Raw genomic sequence first — 15528 nt, 5'->3', positions numbered from 1 at the left:
TTTTGAGCCCAGCACCGCCTGAGCCGCCCTTCCTGTCCTTTCCTTCGGAAGCAGCCCCTGCCTGACTCTCCCACATCTGCTAGGCTCAAATGCCCGCTGGGCGCTAAGGGTCAGGGTGCAGAAGAAGTCAGCTGGGATCCACACATCTGCCCCGACAGACTGGCAGATAGCAGGTGTTATCTAATCGGCACAAATGAAGCCTAGCGCCGAGGGAAATAAAGCCTCTTTGTATTCCATATTTATTATTTGATCTGTAAACTTCCAATCAAAAAATGAGCCTATTAACCTTTATCTTTCAATCTAGTGACGGGGAAAGAAGGCTCCCTATGTTCAGATACCTCGACTTCAAATGGCCCCTGCCCATTCACCCCACCCCGCCCTCGGGAGCCACACCAGGACCAAGACTCAGCAGCAAAACCAACATTCCAGGGGCAGCACCAGAGGGCATGTGGGCTGGTCCCAAGTCCAGGGGTCAAGTGCTCTTACGAGCCTGCTGAAGAGCAGGTTCTCTCTGGGAAAGGAGGAGACAGAGTGCGGAGGAGGGACTATGCAGCCACAGGAGAAAAAGAGGAGATGGCGCGCAGCCTGGGCGTTCCTGGGACCCAGAGCCCCTCTGCCTCAGCCTGGCCCCACAGGGTGGCCGGTAACGAGCCTGAGAGTGACCACAACAGGCAGGGGGCATGGCCCCGAGAGCACACTCAGGATGCTGGCAGTTTTATTTATTTATTTTAGAGGCAGGGTCTTGCTCTGTCACCCATGCTGGAGGGCAGTGGCACAATCATAGGTCACTGTAGCCTTGAACTCCTGGGCTCAAGCATTCCTCCCACCTCAGCCTCCTGAGTAGCTGAAGTGCAGGTGCACACCACCACATCCAGCTAATTTTTTAGTTTTTATTTTTTTTAGAGATGGGGTCTCACTATGTTGCCCAGGCTGGTCTCACACTCCCAGGCTCAACTGATCCTCCCACCTCAGCCTCCTGAGTAGCTGGGATTACAGGCAGGAGTCACTGCACCCAGCTGATGATGGGAGTTTTATAAAAACAAGTTTGTAATCTACTCAGCAAATGTGAAGAAGACATGAGATTATCAGGCCTGCAAAACCACCATCTCCCAGCTGCAGCGCCCCACCCCCGACCCTGCACTCCCAATCCCCAGCACGCAGCGCCTCTCACCGCCCTGCTCGATGTCCGAGTCGGTCAGGTGTGTGAGGGAAAAGCTGGCAATGTTGGCGGGAGAGATGGAGAACCGGGAGTAAGGCGCCGAGTGCGGCCAGCTCTGCTCCGTGCTCCGGGCCGGTGGCGGCGGAGAAAAGTACTTGGATGTTTGGAGAGAAGGCTTGGAGCTGAGCAGGTTACTTGTTGTCTTTGACATAAAAGGATCTGGGGAGAAGTCATCATCCCACTCAAAGCCACCACCTAGAAATAAAAAATAAAACCCCACCCTTTTTATCACTGCGTGATGAGGGAGAGGGGGAGCCTCTGGGCAGGTGCGCCCTGCAGGTCGGAAGACACAGCCCGGCCCGGCTGGCAGATGGCAGTTCTGTGCCCATGTCAGGGGGCGTCATTAAAGCAACATGGGAAGTTACCCTCAAAAAACCTTTACATTACTCAATTTTTCAGTTTCCTTTAAAACTAGACAATGACGTGAAATACCTTCTTCGTCGGTGGAGCTTTCGGAGTTGATGCACCTGCTCAGGTAGGGAGAGCCTGAGGCTGGGGCTGGGCCGCTCAGGTCCGGGCCGCACGCCTCTCCTCCACAGGGCCCCAGCTCTTTGGTTGGGGTCTCCTGAAAAGTCAAACAGAAACTCCTGTCAGCAAAGGCCTGCTCACGGGAACCCCCCGTGTGACCGCTTCCCCACTGGCAGGCGCATCAGACTCATCGACTGAGAAGTAAGCGTCTCAAGACAAGGGCGGCTCCAGGCCTGGGAGGACGGACAGACACTAGGCCCTGTCTCTCCCTCTGCCTGCAGCTCTGACCTCGGCAGAGGCATGAAGCAGCCCTCTGAGGCTGCAGAGAAGCGCAGAGCAGCAGGCAGGCGGGCACGAGCGGCAGTGCTCAAGGTGCCACCCACCAGCAACAAGTGTGTCGGCTTCTCCTCCACAATCCCCCGCCTGGACTCAGGTCAGCCCGGAATCCAAAGTGGGCACTGCCCTGGACACAGTGCTCCAGGAGAAGCCCTTGGTTCTGGCTTCGGAGCAGGAAGGGGGTCTTCTGATGCTCAGAAAGAGAAGGGGGAATTCCAGCTTTCTTCTTTTCTCTGTTCTCTTGCTCTCCAGTCTCAAGCAATCCTGGGGCAACAGCTGCCTATAATCCTGAGGGCCATGAAGCCTCCTCTCCACTGGAGGACTGTGATCACGAGCGGGAGGGGACCCTCGCTGAGTTTTTTTCCCTTCTGTCCTCCCACTGCTTGGCTCCAGATGCGCGTGCGATTGCAGGAAGTATGGCACATCGTGTAACTAAAGCCTCAACTTTCTAGCTAGGGGACCAGAAAGCAGAGGCCCAAAGAACTGCAAGTATCAGGGACATCACAGAAGAGGGAGGAGCTCAAAAAGGTGACCCGATGAAGTTGCTGGGGGGCTCCTGGGCTGTGTGTGGTAGATCTGACTCTGAACACACCCAAGCTTTGAAAATGAACCTCAGGGGAGACCGGGGTGGGGTGCGGGGCACACACGTGGGGCAGGTTCAAACAGCACAGCGAAGGCTTTGAAAGGGGAACTGGGAGCTGACACTGAAACCACAACCCACAGAAGGCTGCTTGGAGCTTGTGGCCTGCACCCACCGGGTCAAGGCCTGCTAAGGTAAAAGTATCAACATGATTCACAGCATTTACACATGGCACAGACTGCCTAACATGATAGGAGGATCCAAAAGCTAAAATTACTTCACATACAAAAACCAGGAACACCTCAATTTACCTGGGAAAAGACAATCAACAGGTGCCAGTGTCACCGTACCACAGATGTTGGAATTATCTGAAAAAGGACTATTATAAAAATGCTCCTACAACTAAGGGGAAACACTCTTACCATGAACAGAAATAGGGAAAATCTTAGCAAAGGAACAGATGATAAGAAGAATGACAAAAAGCAAAACTCAGAAAAGAAAAGTATAATAACCAAAATCTAGCAATTCAATGGATGGGCTCAACAGCATAATGGAGATGACGAAGGAAATCATCAGGGACCTTGAAGACAGAGCAACAGAAATCACCCAATCCAAACAAGAGCAAGAAAAAAAAAACCTGGAGGAAGAAAGGACCAGAGCCTCAGAACCTATGAGAGAATACACAGGGTCTAACCCTGGAGTCCCAGGAAGAGAGGAGACAGGGCGTGGGGCAGAAAAAGTACTAGAAGAAAAGAATGCCTGAAAACTTCTTAAATTTGGTGAAAGATACAAAACTACAGATTTAAGTTTAGCAAAACAAAAACGGGATAAATACAAAGAAATTGGGCCAGGTGGGGTGGCTCACAACTGTGATCCCAGCACTTTGGGTGGCTGAAGCAGGAGGATCCCTTGAGGCCAGGAGTTCAAAACCAGCCTGGGCAACACAGTGAGATGCTGTCTCTACAAACAATTTAAAAATTAGCTAGGCGTGGTGGTGCACGCCTGTAGCCCCAGCTACTCAGGAGGCTGAGGAGGGAGGATCACTGGAGCCCAGGAGTTCAAGGGTGCAGTGACCTATGATCGTGCCACTGTACTCCAGCTAGTGACAGAGCAAGACTCTGTCTCAAACAAAACAAAACAAAACAAAACAAAACACACACACGAAGAAATCCACCCTCAGATGCACCATAATCAAACTGCTGAAAGCTAAAGACAAAGATTTGAAAGCAGCCAGGGATAAAACATGTATTACAGCTTGAGCATCCCAAATCGGAAAACCAAAAATCCAAAATGCTCCAAAATCCAAAACCTTTTGAGCGCTGACATGACGCCCAAAGTGTTCACTGGAGCACTTGGGATTTCAAATTTTCAGATTTGGGATGCTGAACTGGTGAGTATAATGCAAATATTCCAAAATCTGAAAAAATCAGAAATTTAAAATGCTTCTGGTCCTAAGCATTTCAGATAAGGGACGCTCCACTTGTACTTCTAGGAGAAGAATGATCTGAGTGACTGCAAATTTCTCATGAGAGACCGTGGAGGGTGGAAGGAAGGGATACATTTTTAAAATGCTGAAAGAAAACAATTATCAACACAGAATTCTACACTCAGAGAAAACAGGCTTCAGGAATGAGTGTGAAATAGTCTTAGATGGAAAAAAAAACTAAGAGAATTTATTTAAAAATAAAAGGAATCCTGCAAAAAAATGGGTTTTTAAAAAAAAGAGAGAAAAGAAAAGCTAGTTAAATTTCTTTAATTAGAAGGGAAAGGGTTCCAGAAGGAAACCTAGAACATCAATAATGAAAAAGAACAGAAGGACAGGAGGCCCTCCAGATCAGAGAGTTCCACATCCTCAGAGTCAACCAACCAGGACAGAAAACATTCAGAAACAACCACAAATAAGAAATAACAGTATAACAACAACAACAACAACAACAAAATAAATAATACAGTATAACAACTATTTTCATAGCATTTACAGTGTATGAGGCATTATAAGTAATCTAGAGATGACTGAAAGTCTGCAGGAGGATGTGTGTAGGTTATATGCAAATATGATGCCATTTCATATAAAGCACTTGGGCAGCCTCTAATTATGGTATCCAAATTATGGAACCACCACTTCTTGGAAACCAAGGGACAACTCCAGAAACGATCTGAACAGAGATCAGTGACAAGACCACCCGTGCATAACCACACCTGTGCATACTAAGTCCTGTGGTTAGCCTTGCGGAACCCACATATACAAAAAGTCAGCCCTCCGTATCTATACACAGGTTCTACATCCCGAGAATACTGTGCTTTCGATCTGTTTTGGGTTGAAAAGAAGCCATGTTATAAGTACACTCACACAGTTCAAACCCATGTTGCTCCAGGGCCAACTGTATAATACTATTCATTTCCTCTTGAGTTTCTTAGAATGTGTTTGATGACAGAAAGTCAAATGTGTTGCACTGTCTGAGGAGTTATCAGTGTACATGTATGCAACATAGAAGAGCATGTCAAGAAGGGGACGGAGGGCAAAAGGCCTAAGTGACAGTAGGGTTTCCACATTCCATCTGAAATATGCAAATACAGATTCTAAGTAGATTGTGAGAAGTTTAATACATACATTGTAACCCCCAGAACAACCACTACAAAAACTACGCAAAGAGAACAGTGTAAAAAAAAAGAAAAAGAAAAATGTAATACTAAAAATGTTCAATTTATTAAAAAGAGGAAGAATAGAAATAAAAATAGAACAAATAAAATGGTATACGTAAATCCAAAATATCAATAATTTTATTAAAGGTAAATGATCTAAACATACCATTAAAAGGCAGATTTTTCAGAACAGAGTTTTAAAAACCCCATCTAACTATAAGATCTGCAAGAAACTCATGTCAAATATAATGATACAGGTAGATTAAAAGTAAAAGGATGCAAAAGATACACCACGCAAACATTAACCAAAACAACGTGGCCAGGAGCGGTGGCTCACGCCTGTAATCCCAACACTTTCGAAGACCGAGGCGGGCGGATTGCTTGAGCTCAGGAGTTCGAGACCAGCCTGGCCAACATGGTGAAACCCCATCTCTACAAAAAATACAAAAATTAGCTGTGTGTGGTGGTGTGCACCCGTAGTCCCAGTTACTTGTGGGGCTGAGGCAGGAGGACTGCTTGAGCCCAGGAGCTCAAGGCTGCAGTGAGCCAAAATCATACCACTGCACTCCAGCCTGGGTGACAAAGTGAGACTGTCTCCGAAAAAAGAAAGAAAGCTGGAGCAGCTCTATGAATATAAGGCAAAGGAATACAGAAGGACATTACGAAAGGATAAAAAGGTCAATTCAGCAAGAAGACATCATCATCCTCAATGTATATGCATCAACAGAGCTGCAAAATACAGGAAGCGAAAATAAACAGAAATGAAAAGAGAAATAGACAAATCTAAAAATCACAGCTGGAGACTTCAACAACCTCTCTCTGAGTAATAGAACAAGTATGCAGAAAAATCGGCAATGACAGAGAAGAACTAATACCATCAACAAATTAAATCTGACATTTATAGAACGATCCACCCACCAAAACCAAAATACACACTCTTTCAGGTATACATGGAATAATTCACCAAGAAAGACCATATCCTGGCTCTAAGATAAACCTTAACAAATTTAAAAGCATTGAAACCATATTAAATATGTTCTCTGCCCATAATGGAATTAGACTAAAATTTAATAACAAAAAGATACAATAAAATCTCCAACTCTTGGAAATTAAACAATATACTTATTAAACTATATTAACCAATTATTAGTAATTATTAATTATAACTAATATATTAAACTATACTTGTTAATCTATGCTCCCAAGAGGAAGTCTTACAAAAAACTTTTTGATCTGAATGAAAACGAAAACTCACACATTAAAATTTGCTGGGTGCAGCTAAAGTAGTACATAAAGGGAAATTTATAGCATTAAATTATTAGAAAAGAAGAGGCCAGGTGCAGTGGCTCACGTCTATAATCCCAGCACTTCGGGAAGCCAAGGCAGGCAGATTCACCTGAGCTCAGGAATTCGAGACCAGCCTGGGCAACATGACGAAACAAAAAATACAAAAATTAGCCAGGCACGGTGGTGGGCGCCTGTGGTCCCAGCTACTTCAGGAGGCTGAGGCAGGAGAATCCCTTGAGCCTGGGAGGTGGAGGCTGCAGTGAGCAGAGATCGCACTACTGCACTACTACAGCCTGGGCGACAGAGCGAGACCCAGTCTCAAAAAAAGAGAAAAGAGGCCAGGCGCGGTAGCTCAGGCCTGTAATCCCAGCACTCTGGGAGGCCGAGGTGGGCAGATCATGAGGTCAAGAGATTGAGACCATCCTGGCCAACATGGTGAAACCTCGTCTCTACTAAAAATACAAAAATTAGCCAAGCGCGGTGGCACACGCCTGTAATCCCAGCTATTGAGGAGGTGGAGGCAGGAGAATTGCTTGAACGCGGGAGGCGGAGGTTGCAGTGAGCCGATATCACGCCACTGCCCTCCAACCTGGCGACAGAGTGAGACGTCTCAAAAAAAAAAAAAAAGGAGAAAAGAAGTAAGGTCTCGAATTCTAAGCTTTTCTAGAAAAAGCAAAATAAATTCAAAGCAAGGAGAAGGAAGGAAATAATAAAGACAAAGCAGAAATCAACGAAAGAGAAAAGAAAAAAAAATCCATGAAAACAAAAGCAATTTTTTGGAAAGATCAACAAATCTACATAATCTCTTCCAAACACTATCAGAGAAGGAAATACTTCCCAACTCATTTTATGAGACCAGCATTAATTACTCTGATAACAAAACCAAAGACAGTGCCAGCAAACAAACAAAACCCAAACCAACCAAAAAAACCTAGGTGGAGCCCTGAATGTTTATTCCTCAAAGCTGGAGAGCAGGAGCCTCTCAGACAGGGTCTCACTCTGCCATCCCGGCTGCAGTGCAGTGACACAATCATAGCTCACTGCACTCTCAAACTCCTGGGTTTAAGCGATCCTCCTGCCTCAGCCTCCTGAGCAGGTGAGACTATAGGTGCGGGCCACCACAACTGGCCAATTTTTTAAAAATCGGTTCTTATTATGCTGCCTAGACCAGTCTCACCTCCTGGCCTTAAGCGATCCTCCTGCCTCAGCTTTCCAAAATGTTAGGATTATGGGAATGAGCTACTGTGCCCAGCCTTCAGTGCTTGTTTACAGTATGACGGATCAGGCTGGAGGGAACCCTGTCGCACTAATTGCAAGTAAGCATCATTACCCGCTACTTTTGTCTCAAGAACACTGTGCACTGAGGAAGGACATCGCAAGTGCTAAAAGTCGAATGCGATGCCAGGCTGCAGATTGTAAAGGTGCATGCAAGAGGTGGCAGGGCTCAGTGGTGAAAAGTTCTGTGCTCGGTCCAGGAGACTTGGGTCAAGCCCTAGCACTGCTACTCACTGGGGCCAGACCCTGTGCAAAGTTTACCTACTCTGAGCCTCAGGGTCCTCTCCATGAAGATGGTGACAACCACCCCCACATGGGGAAGCAAAACAAGACTCAATGTATAATAAAGGTGCTGGCACCCACAGACTGTTCACCAGCCTTTACTACTTTACACGGTAAGTGCTGGTTAAGTATTTGCTGAACTGACAAATAGTAATATAACCAAGAAACAATTGCTGCCCAATCCCATGAACACTCAGTTAAAAGTTTGGAGCCAAGATACTTCAACTGCTTAAAAACTACACAACTTCAAAACCAGCTCATTAAAAAAGAAAGCAGGAGTGGGAGGAAACCCTCAGTCCTCGGCCTGAACGCTTGGTGGCTGTCGCTTCAAGGCATGCTGCATGAGACGCATAAGCAAACGAATTTCAGATCATCAGAAAGATCTTCCTCATTTTCTTCTGGCCCTGACCCACCTTCCGACTTTCTCCTTGACACTAACTTCCTTGTCAAAGCCTCGCGTCCATTAAGCATGTCTGGTATTTGATCTCTGTACCTTCCATCCCATAACTAGAGTGCCCTTGTCACAGATCTTCATCTTTTGCAATTCTGTCTTCTAAAGTCAGAAAAACATAACATCCTCCACAAAGACTTGTGCAAGGGGCCCATACTCTGCGGCCCCAGGGAGTTTTCTCCACAGGCTGCTTCCACTGGGACTGCGTCCCTCTCACTACTCCAGCTACCCCCAGGCTTTCAGGAAGTGGGGACAGCGTGCTCCCTAGCTCCTAACCGCACTGCTCACCGAGCACAGTTGACAGTTCCGTCCCACCTATACATTACCCCATCCATGGAGAAATGCAGCGATAATCCAAGTTCACAGAGACGGTGGAGAAAGGGCTATGTGGATGCATTGAAAACAAAACACAAACCCGAGGGGCCAGGTGATCCCTTCTCCCTTCCACTCTTACTAGAAAACGGCAGCGTGTTTTCTCAGGCTCCCTGAGCTCAGAGGCTCCTGAGTTCGAGATCTGCCTAGGAACCACCTGGGGAATGAAAAGAGAAAGACGGCCTCCTGGCCCCTCGCAGAATCAGGTTCAAGAGGTCAGGCTGAGCTCAGGAGGCTGCTTTTTTTTTTTTTTTTCTGAGACAGGTCTCACTCTGTCACCCAGGCTGGAGTGCAGTGGTGCAATCTTGGCTCACTGCAACCTCTGCCTCCCAGGTTCAAGCAATTCTCATGCCTCAGCCTCCCAAGTAGCTGGGCCTGCAGTCTTGCCTACCGTGACTGGCTAATTTTTATATTTTTAGTAGAGATGGGGTTTCGCCATGTTGCCCAGGCTGGTCTTGAATTCCCGACGTCAGGTGATCCGCCCACCTTGGCCTCCCAAAGTGCTGGGATTACAGGCATAAGCCACCGCGCCTGGCCTTACTTTTCATTTTTTAAACATCCACTTCCCCGCCATATATGCTATAGCTCAAATGCGGGTGATTTAACGATTTTTAAAGAAACATCATAAAAACCAAAGTGAACAGAACACAGAGGAACAAGGCATAAAGTGACGTTCAACAGACGCAGCTCCTGGGGGAGGAGGTGGAACAGTGCTTGGACCCGCCATAGCCACGGACCCATGAGGGATGGTGCCACGCAGGGGCTGAGACCAAGGTCTGGGTTCCCAGAATGGAGCAAAAGGGAGGGCAAGCAATGTGAAGGAGACGGCGAGGACTCCTGCGCCTTCTAGAAGGTGAGGGGACCCCATTTTCATGTCCCACCACTGAGCTCTCCCAACAATCCAGCTGATGCAAGCAGCAAATTCAAGGGCTACAAAGACTAGTATGAAAAGAACTTTTTTTTTTTTTTTAAAGCATGCTTGAATTATCCGCTGTTACATTTTTAAAGGAGCCTAAATCCATGCCCACTCAGCAGTGCACACTAAGCTGCCTGCTCCAAAGCAGGGAAAGAGGACAGGTCAGGGGACAGAGCAGAAGGACCACAGACGCTCCTGCTGTGTGTCACACCCTCCAGACACCCACCGCAGGGCTTCTGGTTGGCCCCTCTCCTGAGCTGTCTCCAGGGCTGCACGCCAGCCATGGTTCCAGGCTTGTACCCAAGTGGTGGGTCCTACTGCCAATTGTCAGGCTCTAAAAATTGGAGGCCAAGCGCAGTGGCTCATGCCTGTAATCCCAAAACTTTGAGAGGCTGAGGTGGGAGGATGGCTTGAGCCCAGGAGTTTGAGAGCAGCCTAGGCAACATAGCAAGACCGTGTGTCTACAAAAATTAAAAACAAAACAAAACAAAAAAAACACCAAAACCTTAGCCAGCCATGGTGGCATGAACCTGTGGGCCCAGCTATTATGGAAGGTGGGAGGATCACTTGAGCCCAGGAGTTCAAGGCTGCAGTGAGCTGCAACTGTACCACTGCATTCCAGCCTGGGCCACAGAGCAAGGCTGTCTCAAAAGAAAAATAAAAAAGTAAAACAGTAAAAATTTGGTGTGTAAAGGGTGACTAATTCAGGAAGACTCCATTAGAAGACCCAGGAAGAGCATTCGGGTCTCTTTCTCTTAATTTAATACGAACTCCCTGAGCAAATGACATTTCTGCATATTCTTAGAACTCTAACCAACCCCAAATTACTTTTTGTGAGTAATCACAATCTGCTGCCTCAAAATGGCAACTAGAAAACAGACCACACTCAATTTCCTAGCACATTTTGGAATCCTTATATGGATGTGTATAGAAAATGATTTAGAGGGAACAGATACCTGGTCAAACAGGTAGACTGTGACATCATCGAAAAACGTGACTGCCTTCTTTTCCTTCTTCCAGTCCTCGGGCAGTGGGTCGGGGGCATTGGCCGCTGTGGGCTTCAACAGACTCCGCAGGTGCCTTCCGTCCTCGTTGCTGAGGATGATGGGCACGGGGTGCTCGGTCTCGTCCTCCGACTCGGAGCTGAGGCTATGCAGGTTGAAGGCCCGCAGGTCCTCGTCCGAGTCGTCGCTGTTTTCGTCCTCCTCGTCTGCATCCATCCCGTCCTCTGAGAGGTCGAGCATCCCTGACACCCCGAGTTTCCCCAGGTACTTCCCTTCGATGTCCGGCTCCTTCAACTTCGGGCCCTCGGAGTGGCTGGACAGGGACTTGTCCAGCGCAGAATTGGTGTAGGCAAGGAGTTCGTTCGTGTTGGTCCCCGTGGAAGCGAGGGTGCAGGGGCGATCGTCCTGTGTCTCGAAGTCATCGCCGCTGCTAAGTTCTGCATTCAGCACACTCCAGGGACTGCTGGCCTCGTCTTCCGTGGGATGCACCTGCTGGGGAACACCAGTCTGTGCTGGCTCCGGCGTGGCTCTTAATTCCAGGTCACTGGAGTTGTGCAAAGCAGACAGACAACTTTCATCTGGCTGGCTCTTTCTGGCTTCCAGGCAGCTATCCTGGGCAGCAGGACTTTGCTCGGGGAGGACTGGCTCGGGTAGGGGCTGCTCCTGTACCAACACCAAGGCGGATGGGGAGGTTCCCGGGACCTCCTCAGACCTTTTCTCGGGCTCAGAGTCATTGTCTGAGAAGTACGCAGAGTCTCGGTATGAACCCTGGGAGCCAGCTGTGAACGTCTCAGGGGTCACTTCTGTGCCTCTGTGACCATCGCCGGCATCTGAGATGACAATGACCGGGTTGGGAGGCAGACCGCTGTGGCCGCCATCGCCCGTGGTGGCTGGTTCTGAGTCTGCGGTGCCCTCGGGAGCGGGATGCAAGGTCCACTCGGGAGACTCCAAGTTCTCTGTTTCGTAGCCACTGTCTGCCGGCTTATCGGGGGGCACTAGTTTCTGGGGAGTGTGAGATCCTAAAGAGTCCAGTAGCGCTTCGTGGACATCCACTGACTCCAGAGAGTCCGGGGTTTCCAGGGACGGCTCAGAGGCTGGGAAGGGTGCTGACAAGCTGTCCTCCAGGAGGCTGTCCTGACTGGTTGAGTCCGAGGAGAGGGCAGACACCAAGCCTGCTTCTTTTGCTGCGTCTTTAGAATTGAGCTGATTTAAAGTCTCCACAGCCTCTAAGTTTTTCTCTAGCCGGCGATGACTGTGATGGTCTTCCGAAAATGGTTTATTGTGCAATTCCTGTCCCAGTTCCGGGAGACTACTCCCTACACTCACCCTGCTGGCAAGGATGTCATCAGCAAGAACAGAGTCACTTTCGGTGAGTCGCAGGGTCTCCTCACTCTCGCCAGGAGAGTCCTGGGACCTGTTATCCAGGCTGTGGGTTCTGGCATCAGTTGAGAGAATTTCAACCGGGACAGTCACAGCGTCTGGACTGATGTCCTGGTGGAGACAGTCCTCCGGGACAATAACATCTAAACACGTGGGCTGGGTTTCTCCCTGTGTTGGGAGTGAGTCTGGGGGTACCCGACGGGGCGTTTCTTCTGTTTCGAAGGAGGTAGGAGGTACCTGCACTTCCGGGGAAGACTGCAATGAGGTGCTCAAAGTGTCACCTGTGAGCATGACATCTGTATCGTCACCCTTTGTGCTTACGTTTTCCTGCAACAAAGACAAGCCTGGCTTATTTTCAGCAAACTGAAGCTCAGTATCTAAAGAGTTTCTACATGACGTTTCTAACATAGCTTCAGTAAAACCAGCATTCTTAAGTTCTGTCTGAAGATCATTTATGTGTTCTTTGCTGGACAATGAGCCTTTTAGTAAGTTTTTCTCTTGAAGAAATAAAAAGTTTTCTGACAATTCTTGAACATTCAATGGATCAAAATTATCTTGGTGCATAAGATTATCTGATAGGCAGAGAGGCTCACTGTCAAAAATCTTACGGGGCTTTTCTTTCTCAAAGTGGCCTGTTATGACTGACTCTTTGGGGTTATCCAAACTGGAACTTAAAGTGGCAGGTTTAAAGTCGGCTTGAACTCCGTTTAATTCCATTAAGTCGAATATTTTTTGGTGACTGGGCAAATCTTCCGATTTGTCCACATCATTAAATATATTGTTGAAAGGGCTCTCGGGGCCACTGGTCACGTGTAAGTCCCCTGGTAAGCTAGAGTCTTTGGGGTCTGTACTGCTTTGGAAGAAGTCCTCATCTGTACTGGACTCCTCAAGTTCAACGCTCCTGAGCGCCGTGAGCTGGGACAGTTCAGGGCCAGTCCTTTCTGGATTATCCATGTCGGTTGTGAGCAGCGCTGGTGGGTAATCAAGCTCCAAGTTACTACCACTTTTTTCTTCTAACTGGATATAATAGTCGCTTCCAACAGAAAGGTTGTGGGCATCAAAAACAGGAACCACTCCAGGGACCCTCAGGGGGACATCCTGGCCGCTGTCATCTTGCTTTCCGGGCCCAGGATCTGAAAGCGAACTCTCAAAAACTTCAACCGGATAGAAGATGCTCGTGTAGGACAAGCCTTCGTCCAGGTGGCCCCGGCTGCGCTCGTCAAAGTGGTCGTGCTTAGCGGCCTCCCAGACATACTCGAAGCTCAGGCCCTGGCTGGTTTCGGTCACGGTGAGGACTTCCTCCATTTCACGACCCAGCCGGTCCCTGGCAAAGTGGTCGAGAATTGGGAATGCAGCATTGTTGGAGGAGTCTCTGCTGTTTGTGTTCGGCTTCAGAGCGTTCCACTGCTGTTCAAAGTCGACCTCTGAGTCCCGCTGGCTCTGCAGCCGCAGGTAAGTCAGCAGCCTGTGCACATCTTCAGCCGCGGGTCTCTTTTCTGGTGACAGCCAACAGAACTGTAAGACTTCATACCTGAGCAGCACACGACAAGCAATCAGTGGAACCATCACGAATTTTTTTTTTTTTTTTGGTTCGAGACGGAGTCTTGCTCTGTCACCCAGTCTGGAGTGCAGTGGCATGATCCCGGCTCACTGCAACCTCTGCCTCCTGGGTTCAAGCAATTCTCTTGCCTCAGCCTCCCGAGCAGCTGGGATTACAGGCGCCCGCTGCCGCGCCCAGCTAATTTTTGTATTTTTAGTACAGACGGGGTTTCACCATGTTGGCCAGGCTGGTCTTGAACTCCTCACCTCGTGATCTGCCCACCTCAGCCTCCCAAAGTGCTGGGATTACAGGGATGAGCCATTGTGCCTGGCCGAATCAGTTAAAAATATCAAAAGAGGCCAGGCACCCTGGCTCACACTTGTAATCCTGGGGCAATGGGAGGCTGAAGTGGGAGGATCACTTGAGCCAGGAGTTCAAGAACAGCCTGGGCAACATACTGAGACCCTGTCTCTACATTTTTTTTTAAATAAAAATAAATAAATAAACAATATGAAAAGAATTTACAAGGACCCTAAAGCCAACTCAACACCCGAAACATTTCTACACCTTCATCACTGCCAACCACATTAAGTAGTTCAGCTCATGGTGACATCATGGTGAAAGAGGAAATGAAGAAACATAATATTTGGCCCACGAATTTTTTTGTGTTTTGGGGACACCTCACAGTGAAGACGAAACAGAACAGGCGGAATGTGAGGCTACCAACCATCTATCAGAGTAGGGCTGCTCCAGCTGGGGCTTCGGGAGTTTTGTGTCTCTCTCTCTAATGACTTGGTTGAGGACATCTAAGTTGGAAAGGTTTGAATACGGCTGTGCGGCATTGTCAAAAAGCTCCCAAAGTGTCACACCCAGAGACCTGTTGGAAAAAGAAAATGGCTGTTTCTCTCTCCCTTTAGATGTCAAATTTTTAACACTCATACTTGTTACATAGCCAGTAATTTTAAGGACAAGGTGTGTATTGAAAAGATTATTAATAGGATCTTTGTTGTTGTTGTTGTTGTTTTAAGACAGAGTCTCACTGTCGCCCAGGCTGGAGTGCAATGGTGTGATCTCCACTCACTGCAACCTCTGCCTCCCGGGTTCAAGTGATTCTCCTGCCTCAGCCTCCCAAGTAACTGGGATTACAGGCACAAGCCATCATGCCCTGCCAATTTTTATAATTTTAGTAGAGATAGGGTTTCACCACGTTGGCCAGGCTGCTCTCAAAGTCCTGACCTCAGGTGATCCACCTGCCTTGGCCTTCCAAAGTGCTGAGATTACAGGCGTGAGCCACCACAACCAGCCAAGATTGTTCTTTAATCTGAAACCAATAATCAACAGCACAATAGCAAAAAAAGAGGCATTTCTGTTAAAATGAGGAAGACCATGCCTCCTATTTGCTACTGAATACCACCCTAGAAGTTTTGGCCAATGAAAAAAGTACAAAACAGAGATAATAGGTGTAATTATGTGGATGAGATGACTATCAACTTTTAAGTACTCAATAAATTATTGGAAAGACCATCAGAATGTTCTAAAAATTTGGCAGAATTGCTGGAAACAAGATAAATACCCTGAATTCTGATTTTTTTTTTTTGGTAGAAAAATACACCTATTAACAACATTAGTAAACACCAGAAACCATCTAAAAGGAATCTTTACATGGGCAAGACGATATCCTCTCTGTGAGACCCACAAGTTTGGTTTGAGTTACTCCTCAGTATCGTGGGTTTTGCTGCTATTCTGAAGGGATCCCCCATCACGCTGGCAGCTGT

General features: G+C 47.8%; 1 protein-coding gene across 2 annotated transcripts in view, besides 2 other annotated features; it reads right to left on the bottom strand.

Moving 5' to 3' along the window:
• Window positions 1-15528, bottom strand: part of LMTK2 (lemur tyrosine kinase 2) — a 102777-nt gene that overhangs the window by 4281 nt on the left and 82968 nt on the right. For both annotated transcript variants that reach the window (NM_014916.4, XM_011515981.4), the window contains exons 10-13: window positions 14481-14630; window positions 10786-13744; window positions 1652-1784; window positions 1172-1414 (exon numbers count right to left, since the gene is read on the bottom strand). In NM_014916.4, coding sequence (NP_055731.2) covers window positions 1172-1414; window positions 1652-1784; window positions 10786-13744; window positions 14481-14630 — 3485 coding nt within the window. The remainder of the gene's footprint in view (window positions 1-1171; window positions 1415-1651; window positions 1785-10785; window positions 13745-14480; window positions 14631-15528) is intronic.
• Window positions 1586-1765: an enhancer, noted in NCBI's record as "active region_26305". NCBI's record gives its function as "activates an Ori minimal core promoter by ATAC-STARR-seq in GM12878 lymphoblastoid cells {active_cell/tissue: GM12878}" and the evidence as "EXISTENCE:reporter gene assay evidence [ECO:0000049][PMID:35858748]".
• Window positions 12303-12467: a silencer, noted in NCBI's record as "fragment chr7:97822203-97822367 (GRCh37/hg19 assembly coordinates)". NCBI's record gives its function as "represses an EF-1alpha promoter that drives an FKBP-Casp9 reporter gene in an ReSE screen in phorbol 12-myristate 13-acetate-treated (for megakaryocytic differentiation) K562 erythroleukemia cells {active_cell/tissue: K562(+PMA)}" and the evidence as "EXISTENCE:reporter gene assay evidence [ECO:0000049][PMID:32094911]".

This window comes from Homo sapiens, chromosome 7 (assembly GCF_000001405.40).
Source record: "Homo sapiens chromosome 7, GRCh38.p14 Primary Assembly".
NCBI classification, from domain to species: domain Eukaryota; kingdom Metazoa; phylum Chordata; class Mammalia; order Primates; family Hominidae; genus Homo; species Homo sapiens.
Note: the sequence above shows the minus strand (reverse complement) of the source record. Positions and strands in the feature narration are given on the sequence as shown.